Here is a 22,728-nt window from a genome sequence, read left to right as displayed (position 1 = left end):
CAAGGTCTCACTATGTTGCAGAGGCTGGCAGTTCTATATGTTTAAACACCATCAATGTATCGATGACATCCCAAAGGTATATTCGCAACCCTGATCTTGACCCTAGGCTCTAGAATTTAATAGTCAGCTGCCTACTCAATGGCTATTCCTGGATATCTAGCAGGCATCTCAAGCTCCAAACATCTAAACACTTCATCCAAACTAGCTCCTTCCTGTTTCCCATCTCTGTAAATGGCACCACTGGCTCCAGCTAAAAGCCTTGTAATCATCTTTGATTACTCTCTTTCACTCACCTCCCACAGCTAATCTATCAGCAAATCCTGTTGGTTCTACCTTGAAAACATGCCCTGAATTCAATGACTTCTCACTGCATCTATCTTTATCTACCTCACTAGTCCAAGCTACTGTACCTCACAACACTCCAATGGCTTCTTTTTTTTTTTTTTTTTTTTTGAGACGAAGTCTTGCTCAGTCGCCCAGGCTGGAGTGCAGTGGCACTTTTTCAATGCATTATGATTAAGCATAAGTAGCTGCGACTACAGGCGCCCGCCACCATGGCCAGCTAATTTTTTTTGTATTTTTTAGTAGAGACAGGGTTTCACCATGTTAGCCAGGATGGTCTCGATCTCCTGACCTCATGATCCACCTGCCTCGGCCACCCAAAGTGCTGGAATTACAGGCATGAGCCACCGTGCCCGGCCTCCAACGGCTTAATTGCCTCTGCAGCAAAGCGATGTTTTGAAAACATAAATTAGGTATCATTTTTCTGCACAAAACTGTCCAATGAATACCATCAGTTAGAATAAAATCCAAAAACCTCATGGCCTGCAAGGCTCTACACAATCTGAGCCCCGCCAATTCTCAATCTCATTTCCTACTAGCATGCACCACCACCACCACCACTTCATACCCCAGCACTCTCCCAACTCTGGCACACTAGCCTTCTTGTAATTCCTTGAAAATCCCCAAACTGATTTTTGACACAAAGTCTTTGCATTACTATTCCCACCACTTCCAATTCTCCACGTTTGGGTGTGTCTTACTCTTTATCATTCAGGTCGTGTTATGTTCAAATGTTACTTCAGAGAAGCCTTGCCTGGCAACCCACCTAAAAGAACCACCAAACCCACCACCACCACTCTCTATCTCTTGTATTGTTTTCTTCATAGCTTTTTTTTTTTTTTTTTTTTTGGATACAGAGTCTTGCTCTGTCACCCAGGCTGGAGAGCAGTGGCACGATCTCAGCTCACCGCAACCTCCCGGGTTCAAGATATTCTCATGCCTCAGGCTCCCGAACAGCTAGGACTACAGGCGTGCACCACCACACCCAGCTAATTTTTTGTATTTTTTAGTAGAGACAGGGTTTCACCATGTTGGCCAAGCTGGTCTCAAACTCCTGACCTCAGGTGATCCACCTGCCTCGGCCTCCCAAAGTGCTGGGATTACAGGCATGAGCCACCATGCCTGGCCCTGAAATCATCTTTATTAGCTCATTGTCTACCAAAATATAATTTCCATGAGGGCATGGACTTTGTCCTGTTCAATGCTCAATCCTTAGCACCTGGCACGCAGTAGGGCTCATTAATTATTTGTTGTTGAATTGTAAGATATTACCTAATTGATCTCAACTATCCGATTTGTATTTTCATCCTACTATGAATAATTGAATAATTCCTTTCCTACCTTTGAATTTAGATCCAATTCTTGATTACCAGAATGTTCTTCTTAAAACAGAGTCCTAAAACAGCTTAAAGACTGTTAAAATAAGCTATATGGTACTAACGCCTTTAATTCCTTTCTACAATTAGCCCTTCAGGCAACTTCGTCATTATTTTTCCTTGATTATAATATCCACTATCCTTTTTCTGTATTATTAGGCTTGTCAATGTATTACTTATTATAAATGCTACTGGTAGACATGTGTAGAATATCAACAGATATTTACTTTTATATTGCAAGTAACAAATTTTATTAATATTAGCTATAGAAAAGCAAACATTTAAAAACAAAACTGACAGCCAAGTGATCAAGGTCACATCAATAGTGACAATCATGTTGATACTAAGTACTCTAACCCCAGTCTAATGATGAAAAAAGCATCAAATCCCAATTGAGTAACATGCTACAGAAAACCTGACTGGTATTCCTCAAAAGTGTCAAGGTCATCAAAAATAAGGAAAGTGTGAGAAACTATCATAGCCAAGAGGATCCTAAGGAGACATGACTACAAAAAGTACTGTGTTATCTTGGATGGAATAGTGAAACAAGAAAGTGACATTAGATAAAAAGGAAATCTGAATAAACTATGGACTTTCGTTAATAATAATGTATCATTATTGGTTCCTTAATTATAATAGGCTGGGTGTGGTGGCTCACACCTGTAATCCCAACAGTTTGGGAGGCCAAGGAGAGCAGATCACTTGAGCTCAGGAGACCAACCTGGGAAACATGATGAAACTCCATCTCTACCAAAAATACAAAAAAATTAGCTGGATGTGGTGGTGCACGCCTGTAATCCCAGCTACTTGGGTGGCTGAGACACGAGAATCACCTGTTATTCCAGCTACTCAGGAGGCTGAAGTGGGAGGATCACTTGAACCCAGGAGGCAGAGGCTGCAGTAAGCAGAGATAGTGCCATTTGCGCTCCAGCCTGGGTGACAGAGAGAGACTCCATCTCAAAAACTAAAATAAATTATTTTAATTATAGTAAATATACTATACTAACATAAGATTTTAATAATGGGAAAAGCTGGAAGGGAAGCTAGGTATATGAAAACTCTCTTTGTAGTCTGCAATTTTTCTATAAATCTAAAACTTTTAAAAAATAGTTTTTTTAGGCCGGGCACAGTGGCTCACGCCTGTAATCCCAGCACTTTGGGAAGCCAAGGCGGGTGGATCTCCTGAGGTCGGGAGTTCAAGACCAGCCTGACCAATGTGGAGAAAGTCCGTTTCTACTAAAAATACAAAAATTAGCCGGGCGTGATGGCGCATGCCTGTAATCCTAGCTACTCAGGAGGCTGAGGCAGGAGAATCACTTGAACCCGGGAGGCAGAGATTGCAGTGAGGTGAGATAGCACCATTGCACTCTAGCCTGGGCAACAAGAGTAAAACTCCGTCTAAAAAAATTTTAAAAAAAAAAGTTTTTTTAGAGTCAAGTGTGCAGCTGCAGTCACAGCTACTTGGGAGGCTAAGACAAGAAGATCCCTTGAGCCCAGTAGTTTGAGACCAGCCTGTGCAACATGGAAAGACCACTTGTCAAAAAAAAAAAAAAAAGAGGAAAATAGTTTTTTCTAATCCAATTCATCCAAAATCCTACTGCTTAAAAATGTCACCATTAGCTTACGTTTGATATTTATCTTTTTAGACTTCTATATACAGTAATTCTCCTCTTATCCCCACAGGATACATTCCAAGATCCCCCAGTGTATGTCTAAAACCTAGGAAAGTATTGAACCCTATACACAGTGTTTTTTCCTATACTTACATACTTACCTATAATAAAGTTTAATTTATAAATTAGGCACAGTGAGAGATTAAAAACTAATAAAATATTACAATATACTATAATAAAAGTTATGTAAATGTGATCTCTCAAAATATTTTCAGACCACAGTTGACAGCAGATAACTGAAACTGAAACCATGGATAAGGGAGAAGTACTATAAAGGGATATATACAGGTATATTTCTACAAAAATGTGATCACATAATTTTGTAATCTGCTTTGTTCACTTATCACATGCTTTCCAAGTCATTAATAGAGATCTATATCATGTTTACCAGGTACAAAGTACCCCCCTCTATAAAGGCACCGTATTTATTTATTTTTATTTTTATTTATTTATTTTTTGGGACACACACTCTGTCGCCCAGGCTGGAGTGCAGTGGCACAATCATGGCTCACTGTAGCCTTGACCTTCTGGGTTCAAGTGATTCTCCTGCCTCAGCCTCCTGAGTAGCTAGGACTATAGGCATGTGCCACCACACCAAGCTGATTTTTGTATTTCTCGTAGAGACAAGGTTTTGCTGTGTTGACCAGGCTGGTCTCAAACACTCTCCAAGGAGCAAGCGTTTAGTGTGTGCCTGCTGAGTGACTTTGTAAAGATTCAAAAAAAAAAAAAACTCCCGGCCTCAAGGAATCCTCCTGTATCAGCCTTGTTCAATTTTTTTTTTCTCACAATTTGCCAGGCTTTGCTGATTACTGGATCTCCTAAACTTAAAAAAATTGGCTGGCACATAGTAAACACTCAATAAATACAAATGAATACTAAATAAATAAATTTGTCTTTTAACTTTATCATGTTTCTGCCAACTAGACAGATGTTTTTTGTAATAACTGTATCAATCTTTGTCATCTTTGTCTTTATGGATTTGCCTCGACAGTCATGCTTAGTAGAACAGCTCCTTTCTCTTTTGTTGAGCCTGGGTCTCACTCTGTTGGCCAATCTGGAGTGCAGTGACACGTCACAGCTCATTGCAGCCTCGAACTCCTGAGGTCAAGTGATCTTCCCATCTCAGCCTCCTGAGTAGCTGTGACAACAGGGATGTGCCACCACACCAAGCTAATTCTGAAATTTTTTTGTACAGATGGGGTCTCACTCTGTTACCCAGGCTGGTCTTGAATTCCTGGGTTTGAGCAATCCTCCCACCTGGGCCTCCCAAAGTGCTGGGATTATAGACATGAGCCACGTGCCTGGCCTCATTCTATTTCAAGACTGGAAAACTGTTTTCCCAGTTTTTTAAAGTAGTAATTTTCTGATTTCACGTTTTATATTTTAATATTTAATTTGGGCCAGGAGCAGTGGCTCACTCCTGTAATCCCAGCACTTTAGGAGGCCGAGATGGGAAGAAAACCTGAAGTGAGGAGTTCCAGACCAGCCTGGCCAACATGGTGAAACCCCGTCTCTACTAAAAATACAAAAATTATCAGCCAGGTGCGGTGGCTCACGCCACCCACCGAGCACTTTGGGAGGCCAAGGCGGGCAGATCATGAGGTCAGCAGCTCGAGACCAGCCTGGCCAATATAGTGAAACCCCGTCTCTACTAAAAATACAAAAATTAGCTAGGTGTGGTGGCAGGCATACTCTGCCTGTAGTCCCAGCTACCTGGACCCTATCTCTACTAAAAATACAAAAATTAGCTAGGCGTGGTGGCGGCGGCATAGTCTGCCTGTAGTCCCAGCTACTTGAGAGGCTGAGGCAGAAGAATCACTTGAAACTGGGATGCGGAAGTTGCAGTGAGCTGAGATCGCACCACTGTACTCCAGCCTGGGCGACAGAGCAGGACTCCATCTCAAAAAATAAAATTAAAAAAAAAAAAATACAAAAATTACCTGGGTGTGGTGGCCTGCACCTATAATCCCAGCTACTTGGGAGGCTGAGGCAGGAGAACTGCTTGAATCCAAGAAGCAGAGGTTGCAGTAAGCCGAGATCATGCCACTGCACTCCAGCCTGGGCCACAGAGTGAGACCCTCAAAAAAAAAAAAAATTTAATTTGCTGGGCTCGGTGGCTCACGCCTATAATCCTAGCACTTCAGAAGGCCAAGGCTGGAGGATCACCTGAGGTCAGGAATTCCAGACCAGCATGGCCAACACGGTGAAACCCCGCCTCAACTAAAATTACAAAAATTAGCCAGGTGTAGTGGGAGACACCTGTAATCCCAGCTACTCGGGAGTCTGAGGCAGGAGAATTGCTTGAACCCAGAAGGCAGAGGTTGTGGTGAGCACCACTGCACTCCAGCCTGGGGGACAAGCCCGAAACTCCCTCTCAAAAAAAAAAAAAAAATATATATATATATATAAATAATTCACCTAGATTCTTTTTTTTTTTTTGGAGACGGAGTTTCGCTCTTGTTGCCCAGGCTGGAGTGCAATGGCGCGATCTCCACTCACCGCAACCTCCGCCTCCCCGGTTCAAGCATCCCAAGTGGCTATGATTACAGGCATGCATCGCCACACCCGGCTAATTTTGTATTTTTAGTCGAGACGGGGTTTTTCCATGTTGGTCAGGCTAGTCTCGAACTCCCGACCTCAGGTGATCCACCCGCCTCCGCCTCCCAAAGTGCTGGGATTACAGGCGTGAGCCACCACACCCGGCAATTTTATTTAAATTTTAAGGTAGAAATCCCATTTTTTCTCCAAACAGTTGATTGTTCCAATATAATTTTGGAACACCTTCCCTACTCATATAAAATACCATCTTTATAACACTAACCTTATATATTTCTAGATTATTCTGTTTCACTACTCTTGTGTTCCAGGGTTGCTACTTATATTTTGATTATCATAGCTTTATTTGTATATTCTCTAGTACAAGTCCTTTCCTCATTCTTCTCTTCCAAGAAGTTTCTTAATTTCTAGGTTTACTTTTTCAAATGAATTTTAAAACCATTTGGCAAATTTTCAAAAGGAAATCTGGTTGGAATCATGTAAAACTGCCAGCCATATCTCTCTGTTGCTATTTTCCTCAGTGGTAAAACGGAGATAACAGTACTTACCTCGTAGGTTTGTTATGAGAACTAAATGAATTAAATACAGTAGAAAGTATTTAGAACACCAAGCCAGAAAGATAACTATTATAATTACTCAAAAGTGACAGCTATTATGATTGCTCAATAAATGTTTTCCAGATGTGTTCGCACAAAATTCGAAGACTCTTTTTAAGATAAATCAAAAGGTATAATAAAACATAAGCAGTGGTATGGAAAACATACAATTTATACTTTTCTTCACCAATGGCTTGACCCTTCTTTGGTGAAATGACGAGCTAGAACTGGGAGGAGAGACCAAGAAAAATACCAAAGGCTGGTGGGTACCAGGTCTCTAAAATTTTACAAAGATAGCCCACCAAGTGGAAACGAAGACTTCTAGGCCCTTCTAGGCAGCGTTATGGGGGATCAGCATTTCCCTTTTAAATACTATTTCCCCATCTCCGCAGTTATGACAATAGTAGTTACCTTTTGATTTCCTCCCAGAAAATACATAGGGATTAGATGTCTAAAAGACAATATTTTTCGAATGAGGTCGTGGGCCCCTATAAAGTATAAATGGGAATGATAAAGATAGACAGACATGCCCAGAATATTATAACAAATTACCTCCACCAGGTTTCCCACATCATTGTAATGATTGAGAGGGGAGTGGCTGTGGGGTTTTTTTTGGCGGGGTGGCGGTTGTCTCATTATAATTTTTAAGAATTTGTTAAATTATTTTATCTGCATGAAATTGAGGTGAGGAAGTCAGAGGCCGTATGAGGGACCTTAAAAGGTGATCTCCTCTACCGAGCTGAATGAGAAATGGAAGCCGAGGGTGGCAAGATGAAACTAGCCAAAGGCCTGGACCCCAGGCCTCCGAATTCCCAGATCTCGGCTCATCCCAGTACACCACACAGCTTCTCACCGACGCTTGCCACGCTTCGATGTGGGAGGAGTAAAAACAGGCAATCCGACCGCAGCAAAGACGCTGGAAAACCACAGGCCGGCGCAGTCGAAGGCACGTGACCCGCCACGCCCCCCACCCTCCCCCTACCCCGCGCCAGCAGCACGCGCTGCCAACCTCGTCATGTGACCTTCACGCGGCCCCAGCACTCCCCCTGCTTGGCGACTCTTTCCAGCAGCCATTTTGCTGAGAACTTGTCGTCTGTGCTCACCGCGGAGCAGGACGCCACGAAAAGCCGCGGCCAGAATTTACAGGCCGCACACGCGCTTCGAAAGACCGCTCAGGCCGTCAGGGCCCGGTCGAACCTCAGTGAACACGTCGCACCCCGGGGCGCCGGGGAAAGCTGTGGGTGCGCCTCGGCCTGAGATTGGCTGTGGCGTCCACGTGACGCCTCAGCGCCCCCCCGCCCCCGCCACCCTCTCCTTCCCCCCAACGCACAAAAACACCCAGACTCTTAACACTTCGCGCCAAGAACACGCCACCAGGCGCGTGGGGACGGGCGTAGCGCGTGGCAAGCAAGGCGCCTGCGCATACCTGCCGGGGCCGACCGCAACCGACCCACGCGCCGCTCCGCTCGCGGGTCCCGGAATCCTCGCGCTGCTGGACCACCCGGCTAGTCATTGGCTGCCAGTTCGGGTCACGTGCTGGTCGCAAGCCCGCCCCTACCCGCTAATCACCTGGCACCGAGCTCGAAGCGGCGCCGAGTCGTTCGCACGCGGAGAGGGAGGGTAGTTAGAGGGCCATCCTTTTCTGCCGTTATGGATTTAAACCCATAAAGAGGAAACGAGAAACCAGAGGCTCAAAGCTAAGGAAGCTCGCACCTACCGGCTTAACTTCGCACGCCTCTCCAGGAGCCGGGAACCATCGCCCTTGGGCGCTCCCCGATGCACGCCGGGATACGCCTGGCGCCCCTCGGTGTGCTGCAGAGCATGCCGGGAAAGGCACCTCTCCCGATCTCCTGGCGCTCACCTCCCGGGCGTTCCTTTCGTGTCCCCTTGAAAGCCCGGTCCTTGGGCTTGGAATGAGACGGTTTGGGTAATTATGGGAGTGTGGCGAGGTATACCAGGCACTTTCAGCCCCTCCTCTCCCACTTGTTTGATCTGTGTGGTCTTGGGGAAACCGTTTAACCTTTCTCCACGGAGCAAGCGTTTAGTGTGTGCCTGCTGAGTGACTTTGTAAAGATTCAGGAAAAAAAAAAAAAACAGCAAGGGTATTTGCCTGCAAATGAACTGCAGCCCTTTCCTGGCCAGTGAAAAAGAATGCTAATTTAAATGCAACTTACCAGGAGCCCCACTTGAGGGTGGAAATGGCACTTAGAATTTCCCTTGGGATAGAAGATGAGACCTTTCTTGCTAAACTTATTGCTACTGTTGGGGAAAGTAGGGGTGGTAAGAGCAAGAGGCGTTTTAAAGGAGGCGGGGACATGTCTATCACAGTTGCTGGTTCCACCTCGTACGAAATATGGTATATTGGAAACGAGAAAAAAAAAAAAACACCGTCTCCTAACTCAGAAAAAGTGGTCATGCATCAGAACCAATTAACTTTGTAACATATTCACAAACTGCCCTTCAGGCCAAAACCTAATGAAATCCCCACTTAAAACAATTCACACCTTTTCTGCTTTGAACTCCATTCTTCAGCTTTGCCGGATTTTAGAACGATTTCATCAATTCTTAAAGAGATGATTAAGCTTGAAGAACTTGACTAGCGATGGTCAAGCTCAAGAGCTCTTATTTATAGATTAAAAATTAAATGTATTCATTTATAATGTGGTTATCAAGCCAAAATATAGTTTGGGGCACCCTTTTCTAATTTCAAGGTACTCCATAAGCCTAATTATCAGAAAATTATTCCCTGACTAGAAAACCAAAAGAAAGGGTATTAGATGATCATACGTAATAAAAAGCATTAAATTGTAAGCATATGATGTTACACTTGAAGTTTATAAAACATTCCAATATTCTTCATTATATATAATCCTTACAACAACTCAGAGAAAAGTGCTATACTAGTAGTATCATTTTCTGAGTCAGTCTTGAGTGGGAATCTGGAAAAATATATCTTAACACGTTCTTCAGGTAATTGTTATGCACAACTGGGTTTGGGACCTATTGGCTATAGTGGAAAGAACCCAAGGTTTGAAGTCAGACAGATCCATGTCAACTTGCAGCTCTTTTTCTTCCTGCACTCTGATTGTGGTGAACAGGTTTTTGAACTTTTTTTTTTTTTTTTTTTTTTTGAGACCGAGTCTCTGTTGCCCAGGCTAGATTACAAAGGCGTGATCTCAGCTCACTGCAACCTCCATCTCCCGGGTTCAGGCGATTCTGGTGTCTCATCCTCCTGAGTAGCTGGGATTATAGGCGCCTGCTACCATGCCTGGCAATTTTTGTATTTTTAGTAGAGATGGGGTTTCATTCACCATATTGGCCAGGATGGTCTCGAACTTCCGACCTCAGGTGATCTGCCTGCCTAGGCTTCCCAAAATGCTGGGATTACTGGCGTGAGCCACCACGCCTGCCCGTTTTTGAACTTTTTGATTTTCAGTTCCTTTGACTGCAAATTGAGGCCAGTTTGGATTGTCTTTGTTTTTTTGTTTTTTTGTTTTTTTGTTTGTTTGTTTGCTTTTTAGACAGAGTCTCACTCTCTTGCCCAGGCTGGAGTGCAATGGTGCAATCTCGTCTCACTGCAACCTCCGCCTCCTGGGTTCAAACAATTCTCCTGCCTCAGCCTCCAGAGTAGCTGGGATTACAGGCGCACACCACGTCGCCTGGCTAATTTTTATTTTTAGTAGAGACAGGGTTTCACCATGTTGGCCAGGCTGGTCTCGAACTCCTGACCTCATGATCCGCCCGCCTCGGCCTCCCAAAGTGCTGGGATTACAAGCGTGAGCCACTGTACCTGGCTTGTGTGTGTGTGTGTGTGTGTGTGTGTGTGTGTGTGTGTGTTTTGAGATGGAGTTTCACTCTGGTTGCCCAGGCTGGAGTGCAATGGCGCAGTCACAGCTCACTGCAACCTCCGACTCCCGGGTTCAAGGGATTCTCCTTTGTCAGCTTCCCAAGTAGTTGGGATTACAGGCATGAGCTACCACGCCCGGCCTGGATTGTCTTTGGATTGTCATAATGATTCTCAGATCAAAATATTTAGAACACCTGTCATAATCCCTGATAAATATGATGAACTCTATGAATGTGAGTGCTCGTTAGTGGTAAGGTTGCATTCAAACTAGCACCCTGTACTCTGTGCAATACAGCACATTGTTGAATCTTTTTTCTCCACTATTCTGTTTCTCCCCTAGACAGTGCTAGAGGAACACTAACAGATTCGTGTACCACAGATCTTTTTTGGAATCCTTGGTGACTACTGCCCATCTGTTGGTATATATATTTACATTGTCTCCCACCTTCATTTCATTTTTTTTCTTAACATGTTAAAATGCTGAGCTGTAGACATTATTGCAGTAAAATAATGCTGATAGACGATTAGAGAGGGCACCTGTGCCTGAACTTCAAGGAGACTAAAAATTTTTATATGAATATCTCAAAGTAAAGACACCTCAAAACTCGCTCTTCACTTATATAACAATATTTCGGATGCTGTCTTCCTGGCCTCCTTCCAGTGGTTCCATAGAACCTCTACTAGCTTCATCATTTACCCTTAAAAAAGGGAGGGATTCGCTTAGGCAGAACTTCCCATAGACATCTGAAACTCAGCATTTCCAAAGCCAAGCTAATTATCCGTCCCTTCACCACTACACACAAGTACTACAGCATTCCTCTACATGGGTAGTATCACCACCATTCCAGTAACTTTGCCAGGCTACAAAACCTGTGTGAACCCGGGAGGCGGACCTTGCAGTGAGCTGAGATGGTGCCACTGCACTCCAGCCTGGGCGACAGAGCGAGACTCCATCTCAAAATAAATAAATAAATAAATAAATAAATAAATAAATAAATAAATAAAATAAATAAAAATTAAAAAATCTGTGTATGGTGTGAGGTAGGGGTTGAGATTCATTTATTTCATAATGATGTCAAGTTGATCCAACACTGTTTGTTGAACATTATTTTCCCTCTTTGAAGTACCTTGACATCTGTATTAGTTGTCTGTTACTGTATAACAAATTACCTCTAAAATTTAGCAGCTTAAAACAACAAATACTTATTACCTCATTGTTTTTGTGGTTAAGGAATCTGGGCACAGCATACCAGGTTGCCAGTGGCTCAGAGTGTCTCAAGAGGTTCCAGTCAAGCTGTTGGCCAGGGTTGTAGTCTCAACTGAAGGCTTGACTCAACGTGAGGGGAGTCTGCTTCCAAGCTCCTTTGTGCTTCTTGGCAGGCCTTGGTTCCCTGCCCCATAGGCCTCTCCACAGGCCTACCTTACAACATGGCAGCTAGCTTTACTGATAGTAAACAATCCAAGAGAGATACAGTTACCCCAAAATGTAAGCCATAGTCTCTTTTAAACCTAACTCTAGTAGTGACATCCTCTGACACCTATCAGCCCACACTCAAGAGAGATTACATATGGATGTGAATACCTGGAGGTAGGAATCATGATATTCAATGCCACGTAATCTCTATTGAGTGTGACCTGATAGATTAGGGTCCATCATTAGAGGCTGGTCCATCATAACACCTTTGTCAAAAATCAATTGTCTATATATGTTTGGGTCTATTTCTAGGTTGTATTCTGTTCAACTGACCTAATTTGTCCATTTACTACTGCTATGCTGCCTTAATTTCTGTAACTATAATATGTCTTGAGGTCGGTAGTATAGGTCCTTCAACTTATCTTTTTCAAAACTGTTTTGGCTATTCCAGGCTGCAATGCAGTGGCATGAACATGGCTCACTGCAGCCTGGACCTTGCAGGCTGAAGGAATCCTTCCACCTCAGCCTCCCAAGTAGCTAGGGTTATGCACCACCACACCTGGCTAATTTTTGAAGTTTTTTTATGGAGACAGGAGTCTCACCATGTTGCCCAGGCTAGTCTCAAACTCCTAGGCTCAAGCAATCCTCCTGCCTTGACCTTCTAAATTGCTGAGATTACAGGCGTGAGCCACTGCACTTGGCCCTTGCATTTTCATGTAAATTTTAGAATTGGCTCATCAACTTCTATGAAAATTAGGATTTTTAGTGGAATGGCATTGGATCTATAGATCAATTCATGAATAATTAATATTTTAATATTGAGACTTCTGAGTCATTAACATGTAGTCACAATACATATATCTAACAAAGGACAAAAATCCACAATATATTAAGAACCCTGTAATAGGCCAGGTGCGGTGGCTCACACCTGTAATCCCAGCAATTTGGGAGGCCGAGGCAGGTGGTCACCTGAGGTCAGGAGTTCGAGACCAGCCTGGCCAACATGGTGAAATCCCCTCTCTACTAAAAATACAGGAAAATGGCCAGGTGCAGTGGCTCACGCCTATAATCCCAGCACTTTGGGAGGCCGAGGCAGGTGGATCTCCTGAGGTCAGGAGTTCAAGACCAGTCTGGCCAACCTGGTGAAACCCGGTCTCTACTAAAAATACAAAAATTAGCTGGGCATGTTGGCAAGCACCTGTAATCCCAGCTACTCTGGAGGCTGAGGCAGGAGAATCTCTTGAACCCGGGAGGCGGAGGTTGCAGTGAGCCAAGATTGCGCCATTGCACTCCAGCCTGGGGGACAAGAGTGAGACTTCCTCTAAAACAAAAAAAAAAAACAACAACAACAACAAGAAAAACTAGCCGGGCGTGGTGGCAGGAGCCTATAATCCCAGTTACAAGAGAGGCTGAGCAGGAGAATCACTCAAACCTGGGAGGCAGAGGTTGCAATGATCTGAGATCGTGCCACTGCACTCCAGCCTGGGCGACAGTGAGACTCTGTCTTAAAAAAAATAAATAAATAAAAAACCCTGTAATAATAATAAAACAAAAATCCAATTTTTTTTTTTTTTTTGGAGACAGGGTTTCACTCTGTCACCCAGGCTGGAGGGCAGTTGCAAGATCACAGCTGCTTAGCTCACTGCAGCCTCAACCTCCTGGGCTCAAGTAATCCTCCCACCTCAGCCTCCCACTTACTAGGGAGTAAGTGGGACTACAGGCATGCAGCACCACCCCGGCTAATTTTTTGTATTTTTTGTAGAGATAGGGTTTGGCCATGTTGCCCAGGCTGACCAATATATTTTTCTCATTTTTTTTTCTTTTTTTCAGACAGATTCTTGCTCTGTCACCCAGGCTGGAGTGCAGTGGCACAATCTCGGCTTACTGCAACCTCTGCTTCCCAGATTCAAGCGATTCTCCTGCCTCAGCCTCCCTAGTAGCTGGGATTACAGGCTCCTGCTACCACGCCTGGCTAATTTTTGTATTTTTAGTAGAGACAGGGGTTTCACCTTGTTGGTCAGGCTGGTCTCGAACTCCTGCCTTCAGGTTGATCCACCTGTCTCTGCCTCCCAAAGTTCTGAGATTATAGGCATGAGCCACCACACCCAGCCCACAGGCCTTTTTTTCTTTTTCTTTTTCTTTTTTTTTTTCAGATGGAGTCTCGCTCTGTCACCCATGCTGGAGTGCAGTGGTGCGATCTCAGCTCACTGCAACCTCTGCCTCCTGGGTTCAAGAGATTCTCCTGCCTCAGCCTCCTGAGTAGCTGGGACTACAGGCGTGTGCCACTCCACCTGGCTAATTTTTTGTATTTTTAGTAGAGACAGGGTTTCACCATGTTAGCCAGGATGGTTTTGATCTCCTGACCTGATGATCCACCTGCCTCGGCCTCCCAAAGTTCTGGGATTACAGGCATGAGTCACTGCGCCTGGCCCCCTTTTTGTCTTATTATATATTTTGCTCTACGTATTCAGAGAAACTTCTCTAGTAACAAACTATAGAAATGATTCCTGAAAGTGTAGTCTTGGCCAATATATATATTTTTTTAAAGAATTCAATTGGCTTTATTGCAGTTTTGTTTTTTGAGTTTTTTGGTTTTGTTTTTTTTTTTTTTGAGAGACGGAATTTCGTTCTTGTTGCCCAGGCTGGAGTGCAATGGCACGATCTCAGCTCACCGCAATCTCCACTTCCGAGGTTCAAGCGATTCTCCTGCTTCAGCCTCCCTAGTAGCTGGGATTACAGGCATGTGCCACCACGCCAGGCTAATTTTATATTTTTAGTAGAGACAGGGTTTCTCCATGTTGGTCAGGCTGGTCTCGAACTCCTGATCTCAGGTGATCCGCCCGCTTCGGCCTCCCAAAGTGCTGGGATTACAGGCATGAGCCACCATGCCCAGCCTGTTGCAGTTCTAGAATCAGGAAATAATTCATTCCATAAAACAGAAAGTGTTCAATGGCCAATATTTTTTAAATGAGTAAACGAACTGACATTTTACCAAAGAAAATCTACAAGTGGTCAATAAACATATGAAACATGCATAACACCACCAGTTATTAGGGAAATACAAATTAAAACCACAAAGAGATACCAGTTCACATCCTCTACAATGTCTAAAATTAACAAGACTGACAAGGTCAGACGTGGTGGCTCATGCCTATAATTCCAGCACTTTGGGAGGCCAATGCGGACAAATCACCTGAGGTCAGGAGGTCGAGACCAACCTGGCCAACATGGTAAAACCCCGTCTCTACTAAAAATACAAAAGTTAGCCAGGTGTGGTGGTGGGCACCTATAATCCCAGCTACAGAGGCTGAGGCAGGAGAATCACTTGAACCCAGGAGGCGGAGGTTGCAGTGAGCCAAGATTACACCATTGCACTCCAGCCTGGGCAACAAGAGCAAGACTCCATCTCAAAAATAAATAAATAAATAATAAAAAGACTGACAATAACAAGTGTTGGCTAGGATTTGTAGCAACTAAAACTCTCATACATTGCTGCTGGGAGTATAAACTGCTACAATTCGGCCTAGGCAACATAGTGAGACCCCATCTCTACAAAAAAATTTAAAAATTAGCCAGGAGTGGTGGTGTGCACCTGTGATCCCAGCTACTTGGGAGGCTGAAGTCGAAGGATCTCTTGAGCCTAGGAGATTCAGGCTGCAGTGAGGTAGGATTGCACTGCTTTACTTCATCCTAGACAACAGAGTGAAAGCCCATCTCTATTAAAAAATCGTACAATTGGTCAGACGCAGTGACTCACACCTGTAATCCCAGCACTTTGGGAGGGTGAGGCGGGTGGATCACCAGAGGTCAGGAGTTCGAGACCAGCCTGGTCAACATGGCAAAACCTTGTCTCTACTAAAAAATACAAAAATTAGCCAGGCGTGATGGCAGGCGCCTATAATCCCAGCTACTCAGGAGGCTGAGGCAGGAGAATCACTTGCACCCGGGGGAAAGAGTTTGCAGTGAGCCAAGATCACGCCACTTTATTCCAGCCTGGATGAAAAGCAAAACTCCATCAAAAAAAAAAAAAAAGAAAAGGGTACAACCCTTTGGATAACAGCTTGACAATTGTTTATAAATTTAACATATACTTACTCTATCACCTAGCAATTTAACTCCTAGGTATTTACTCAAGAGAAATGAAAACATATATCCACAAAAAACTTTGTATCTTTCTTTGAGACAGAGTCTCACTCTGTTGCCCAGGCTGGAATGCGGTAGCGTGATCACAGCTCATTGCACTCTCAACCTCCAGGATCAAGCAATCCTCCAGCCTCAGCCTCCCAAGTAGCTGTGACTACAGGTGTGCGCCACCACATCCAGCTAAAATTTCTTTTATTTTTAGTAGAGACAAGGTATTGCTATGTTGCTCAGACTGGTCTGGAACTCCTGAGCTCAAACAATACACCCACCTCGGCCTCCCAAAATGCTAGGATTACAGGCCTGGGCCACTGTGCCCAGCACACAAAAAACTATTGTATTAAAAATTTTATAACAGCTTTATTCATAATAACCAAAAACTAGAAACAACTCAAATGTCCATCAACAGATAAATAAGTAAACAAATTGATTATCAATGGACTATATTCAGCAATAAAAAAAAGAATGGAGTTCTGGAGTTTGTCAATAAAAAGGAATGAACTGCTGATATATCAACAATATAGTTGAATGGCTGGGTGCAGTGGCTCAGGCCTGTAATCCCAACACTTTGGGAGGCTGAGGTGGAAGTATCACTTGAGCCCAGGAGTTCAAGACCAACCTGGGCAACATAGTGAAACCCCCCAGCCATCTCTATTTAAAAAAAAAAAAAAGGAAAAAACAATATAGATGAATCTCAAAACACATAATAAGCAAAAAAAGCCAGACATATATTAAAACACAGTGTATGATTCCATTCTGTAGGACATTCTAGAACAGACAAAATTAATCTATGATGTGGTGGAATAAAGATGGCCCATCTTTGTCACTCTCCCCACTGAAAAGTGGAATTTATTTTTCCATCCCCTTGAATTTCTTCTAGGCTCATGCCTGCTTTGGTCAGTAGAATACAGCTGAAGTGATGTTGTACCAGTTTTGCGTCTGGTCTTTACAAGCACTGGTAGCTTCAACTTTCTCCTTCTTGGTACTCACCCACCATGTTGTAAGGAAACCCAAACAGCCACGTGGAAGACAGTTCTAGTTGAGCTCCCAGCCCAGAGCCTATCCCAACTCTCCAGCCATGTAAGTGAAGTGAATTCTCCAGCCCCAGTCAAGCTACCCCAGGTGACCCACAAAGCAGACAAATTGATTCCACTAAACCATGACCAAATTGCAAAATCATGAGCAAATAAATGATTTTTATTCTTTTTTTTTTTTTTTTTTTTTTGAGACAGAGTCTCGCGCCGCCCAGGCTAGAGTGCAATGGCGCGATCTCAGCTCACTGCAACCTCCACCTCTTGGGTTCAAACGATTGTCCTCCCTCAGCCTCCCGAGTAGCTGGGATTACAGGCGCCTGCCACCACGCCCAGCTAATTTTTGTATTTTTAATAGAGACAGGGTTTCGCCACGTTGGCCAGGCTGGTCTTGAAGTCCTGACCTCGTGTTCCACCCACCTCGGCCTCCCAAAGTGCTGGGATCATAGGCATGAGCTACCGCGCCCAGCCAATGATTTTTATTCTTTTAAGCCACTGGGTTTTGGGGTGACAAAACGATCTACAGATACAACAATCTATAACCAAAACATACGGGAGTAGAAATCACAACAATATTACCTGTGGGAAGAGGCAGAATCAACGACAAAGGGGCACAAGAGGACTTAGAGGTGACAGAAATGTTCTGTATCAGCTAGGCACAGTGGCTCACACCTGTAATCCCAGCATTTTGGGAGGCTGAGGCTGGAGGATCACATAAGCCCAGGGGTCTGAGACCAGACTGGATGACATAGTGAGACCTCATCTCTGCAAAAAATAAAATTAGCTGGGTGTGGTGGCACACACCTGTAGTCCCAGCTACTGGGGAGGCTAAGGTGGGAGGATAACTTGAATCCAGGAGGTTGAGGCTACAGTGAGCTGAGATCATACCACTGCACCCCAGCCTGGGCAACACAGTTAGACCCTGTCTCAAAAAAAAAAAAGGTTATCTATCTTGATTAGGGTAATGGTTATACAAATGTATGCATTTATCAAAACTCTGAACTGTATACTTAAAATCTATATATTATATTGTATGTAAATTATGCCTTAATGAAGTTGATTTTTTAAAAAAGGCCAGGCGTGCGCGGTTGCTCTCACCTGTAATCCCAGCACTTTGGGAGGCGAGGCGGTTGGATCATGAGGTCAGGAGATTGAGACCATCTGGCTAACACGGTGAAACCCCGTGTCTACTAAAAATACAAAAAAATTAGCCGGGCATGGTGGCGGGCGCCTGTAGTCCCAGCTACTCGGAGGCTAAGGCAGGAGAATGGTGTGAACCCGGGAGGCGGAGCTGGCAGTGAGCCGAGATCGCGCCACTGCACTCCAGCCTGGAGGACAGAGCGAGACTCCGTCTCAAAAAAAAAAAAGGCCAGGCGCGGTGGCTCACGCCTGTAATCCCAACACTTTGGGAGGCCGAGGCGAGCGGATCACGAGGTCAGGAATTCAAGACACATCTGGTCAACATAGTGAAACCCCGTCTCTACTAAAAATACAAAAAATTAGCCGGGTGTGGTGGTGTGCGCCTGTAATCTCAGCTACTCGGGAGCCTGAGTCAGGAGAATCGTGTGAACCGGGAAGGCGGAGGTCGCAGTGAGCCGAGATCGCGCCTTTGCACTCCAGCCCGGGGCGACAGTGCGAGACTCTGTCTCAAAAAAACAAATCAACCAACCAACCTTTGGTGACTCTCCATTAGCTAGAGAATATAAAGTAACCTCCATAGCTTCTTAGGAGACTCTTCACAAACACAAAGTCACCCCAGCCTGAATTCCCAAGATATTTCCTTTTTTTTTTTTTTTTTTTTTTTTTTTTGAGACAGAGTCTCGCTTCGTCTCCCAGGCTGGAGTACAGTGGCGCGAACTCGGCTCACTGCAAACTCTGCCTCCCAGGTTCAAGCAATTCTCTGCCTCAGCCTCCCGAGTGGCTGGGAGTACAGGTGCCCGCCACCACGCCCAGCTAATTTTGGTATTTTTAGTAGAGACAGGATTTCACCATCTTGGTCAGGCTGGTTTTGAACTCCTTACCTCGTGATCCACCCACCTGGGCCTCCCAAAGTGCTGGGATTACAGGCGTGAGCCACCGCGCCCAGCCAATATTCCCTTCTTTACACTAAAACTAAACAAAATGATTTGAAGTTCCACATGGGCCCCGGCTTCTTGAGGTTGTTCTGTCTTCTTGGAATGTCACTCCTTGCAATCTCAGGCTGCTAAAAAGTCCTAGGCATCCTGTGACACCCACCTCTACCCACCCCTGTCCTGAGAGAATCTTAGTCACCACCTCCTCTGGCTTGCAGAACACTGTGTGAATACTTTTATTATAATACTTACCAAGCATTGTATTGTATTGTATTGTAAGTTTTTGTTTACATGCTTCTCTCTTTCACTAGACCCTGACTTCCTTCAGCAAAGAGACAGCTTCTGATTCATGTTCGTCTCACCATAATGTAAGTACCTGGCAAGTAACAGATGCTCGGTAAATGGTGAATGGATTACAGCACATTAGTCAGGGTCTCCTTTTGCTTCTCTCGTTACTTTACTGCTAAGTATTCTCCAGCCCTCTGTTGTATGGCTGTGTCCTAGGTCGCCATCCTCTGCCATTTCCTTTTTTTTTTCTGTTTCTCTTTCACTCCTGTAGCAGTCCTTGAAGGCTCACCTATCCTCGTGGCTGCAGCCATTTCCCTCTCTGCAGATACTTCCAAAAGTTACACTAGATGTTAACTGAGCACTAAGGACACTACGTGAAAGACTGGAGTACAAACATCCAAAGGACTGAAGAATTTGAAGAGCACTGAATGTGGGAGATAGGACAGAGGAAAGGAGTCAAATGTCTCCAAGAAACGAAGCCTGTGTGCCCTGGAGAATGAAGAAGCATCATCAAATCGGGGAGACTGAAGGAGGAATCGGTTTTCAGAGAAAAACAATTTATATTGTCTTAGCTGTGTTAGGTGGCATACTATTACATTCAAGTGAAGCTGTGTAATAGACAGAGATGACAAATTTTATTCATTTATGAATGCCCCCCAAAATATATATATAGTTTTTGCCCTCATGTCTCTTATTGGGATGACAGACATAAATCAAAGAATTCCATAAATAAATATTAAAATACAATTTGTGATAAATGCTACAAAGTGGTACATATTCATATGGAAGCATAAAGAGAACTGACCCGCTTGAGGAAGCTGGCAGTGAGAGCTGAAGGTAAGAGCAAGAGTTGACTAGGAGACAAGATGGGGAAAGTTCTAGGCAGAAGGAACAGCATGTTCCAAAGCCAACAGCATAGAGACAGAAAGTAGATTAGTGAGTGCCAGGGGGTGGTGGGGAGCAGAGAAGAAGAAGGGGTGTCTGCTCTTGGGTATGGAGTTTCTCTTTGAGGCAATGAAAATGCTCTGGAATGAGATAGTGGTAACAGTTGCACAACTTTGTGAACATACTAAAATCCACTGAATTGCATACTTTAAAGGGGTAAATTGTGTGGTAAGCGAATTATATTTCAATTTTTAGAGATAAAGATAAATGCAAGTTAACAATAACCAGGAAAAAAAAAAAAACATGCCACAGCACCTTCAGTAAACTAAAAGAAGGCCAGTGTGGGCCAGGTGTGGTGGCTCACACCTGTAATCCCAACACTTTGGGAGGCCAAGGTAGGTGGATCACTTGAGGTAAGAAGTTTGAGACCAGCCTGGCCAACATGGCAAAACCCCATCTCTACTAAAAGTACAAAAATTAGCCGGTGTGGTGGCAGGCACCTGTAATCCCAGCTACTCAGCAAGCTGAGGCAGGATAATTACTTGAACCCAGGAGGCAGAGATTGCAGTGAGCCAAGATCGCACCACTGCCCACCAGCCTGGGCGACAAAAGCGAGACTCTGTCTCAAAAAAAAAAAAAAAAAAAAGAAAAGAAAAGAAAACAAACAAAAAAAAAGGCTAGTGTGGCCAAAACAAGTGGGAGCAAGCATGATGTATGATGAAGCTGAGGAAGTGAGAACAAAGAATGATGAAGGACAAGGCCAGGCACGGTGGCTCACGCCTATAATCCTAGCAATTTGAGAGGCCAAGGCAGGCAGATCACCTAAAGTCAGGAGTTCAAGACCAGCCTGGCCAACATGGGGAAACCCTGGCTCTACTAAAAATACAAAAACTAGCTGGACGCAGTGGTGCATGCCTGTAGTCCCAGGTACTTGGGAGGCTGAGGCAAGAGAATCTCTTGAGCCCAGGAGGCAGAGGTTGTGGTGAGCTGAGTTCACGCCACTGCACTCCAGCCTGGGCAACAAAGCAAGACTCTTATCTCAAAAAAAAAAAAAAATTAGACGAGGTGGTGGCAGGTGCCTGTAATCCCAGCTACTTGGGAGGCTGAGGCAGGAGACACTTGAACTCAGGAGGCGGAGGTTGCAGTGAGCTGAGATCACACCACTGCACTCCAGGCTGGGCAACAGAGCGACTCTGTCTTAAAAGAAAAAAAAAGAAAGATGAAGGATGAGTGTTCAGGAGACATTTAGAGATATAATAAGGCGTGAGAAAAAGATCAAAGAGTATGAGTATAGAAATAAATCAGGGCCAGGAGTGGTGGCTCATGCCTGTAATCCCAGCACTTTGGGAGGCCAAGGCGGGCGGATCATGAGGTCAAGAGTCCGAGACCAGCCTGGCCAACATGGTGAAACCTCATCTCTACTAAGAATACAAAAATTAGCTGGACATGGTGGTGTGTGCCTGTAACCCCAGCTGCTCAGGAGGCTGAGACAGGTGAATTGCTTGAACCCAGGAGGTGGAGGTTGCAGTGAGCCAAGATCATGCCACTGCACTCCAGCCTGGGCAACACAGCAAGACTCCATCTCAAAAAAAGAAAGAAAGAAATCAAAAGGTTGGCCATCAAACCTGTCTCCATTCCCACAGCTGAGGAGTGGAAAGAAAGAAATGGAGCCTCTAGAGGCATTAGACAAAGAGGCCACAGGAGAGGAGAAGCAGCAGCACAGCAGACTTGCATACAGGCCAAGAGAGGAGAGGATTTCTCATAGCAGATGATGGTCAGCAATATTGATCACAGCAAAGAGGCTAAGGAGAACAGAAATCAAGAAAAGTCCTTTGGAGCCATGTGCAGTGATGTGCATCTATAGTCCCAGCTACTGGGGAGACTGAGGCAGGAGGATTGCTTGAGCCCAGGAGTTGGAGGCTGCAGTGAGCTGTAATTGTGGCTGTCAATAGCCACTGTACTCCAGCCTGGGCAATAAAGCAAGACCACATCTCTTAAACATTTTTTTAAGTTCTTTGAATTTAGAGCTGGATGACCATAGGCACAGCTATGTGAGAGTGGGGTGTTGCAGGAAAGAGCCAGATGGCAGAGGAATAATGAGAGAATGAGTCATGAAGACATGGAGGCACACAGTATTTGGCAGTAAAAGGAGGAGGAAAAAATGGGACAGTAGCTTAAAGAGAGTGAGGTCATATAGAGGCCTTTTCCAAATGGGAGAGACCTGAATGCGTGTGAGATGAAAACAAGGAGACAGGACAAAGGAACCAATTTAAAATGTGAAGGAGAAAATAAATCATGCAATAAGTTCCCTTAAGGAGACAGGAGAAGATAGAATCAAGACACAGGTGGAAAGCGCCAATTTAGGAAATGACAGTTGGCTGGGCTCAGTGGCTCATGCCTATAATCCTAGCACTTTGGGAGGCCGAGGCGGGTGGATCACCTGAGGTCAGGGGTTCGAGACCAGCCTGGCCAACATGGCAAAATCCTGTCTCTACTAAAAATACAAAA

At 44.5% G+C, this 22,728-nt stretch overlaps 1 protein-coding gene, 1 long non-coding RNA gene and 1 pseudogene across 26 annotated transcripts in view, besides 1 other annotated feature; 1 reads left to right on the top strand and 2 right to left on the bottom strand.

The window, feature by feature from the left end:
* Window positions 1-8,335, bottom strand: part of MGA (MAX dimerization protein MGA) — a 148,717-nt gene extending 140,382 nt beyond the window's left edge. For 20 of the 24 annotated variants that reach the window (XM_005254246.4, XM_047432276.1, XM_047432286.1 and 17 more), the window contains exon 1: window positions 8,261-8,335. The gene's annotated coding sequence lies outside the window, so the exon portion shown is untranslated. Of the gene's footprint in view, window positions 1-7,969 lie in introns of all 24 variants that reach the window. The other 4 variants (XM_017022029.3, XM_047432300.1, XM_047432302.1 and 1 more) reach the window with 1 other exon arrangement.
* Window positions 8,064-8,123: a silencer, noted in NCBI's record as "silent region_6367". NCBI's record gives its function as "represses an Ori minimal core promoter by ATAC-STARR-seq in GM12878 lymphoblastoid cells {active_cell/tissue: GM12878}" and the evidence as "EXISTENCE:reporter gene assay evidence [ECO:0000049][PMID:35858748]".
* LOC105370791 (uncharacterized) lies at window positions 8,104-20,082 on the top strand. 2 transcript variants are annotated; one of them, NR_188232.1, is made up of 4 exons: window positions 8,104-8,470; window positions 16,825-17,024; window positions 19,359-19,415; window positions 19,607-20,082. It is a non-coding gene; the product is annotated as an uncharacterized LOC105370791 (long non-coding RNA). The 2 variants fall into 2 exon arrangements; NR_188233.1 differs by having other exon boundaries at window positions 8,104-8,492.
* LOC124903614 (uncharacterized) lies at window positions 14,251-14,327 on the bottom strand (annotated as a pseudogene).
* Window positions 20,083-22,728: the final 2,646 nt, after the last annotated feature.

This window comes from Homo sapiens, chromosome 15 (assembly GCF_000001405.40).
Source record: "Homo sapiens chromosome 15, GRCh38.p14 Primary Assembly".
Taxonomy (NCBI): Eukaryota; Metazoa; Chordata; class Mammalia; order Primates; family Hominidae; genus Homo; species Homo sapiens.
The sequence above is the reverse complement of the archived record's forward strand: the minus strand, read 5'-3'. Positions and strand labels throughout refer to the sequence as shown.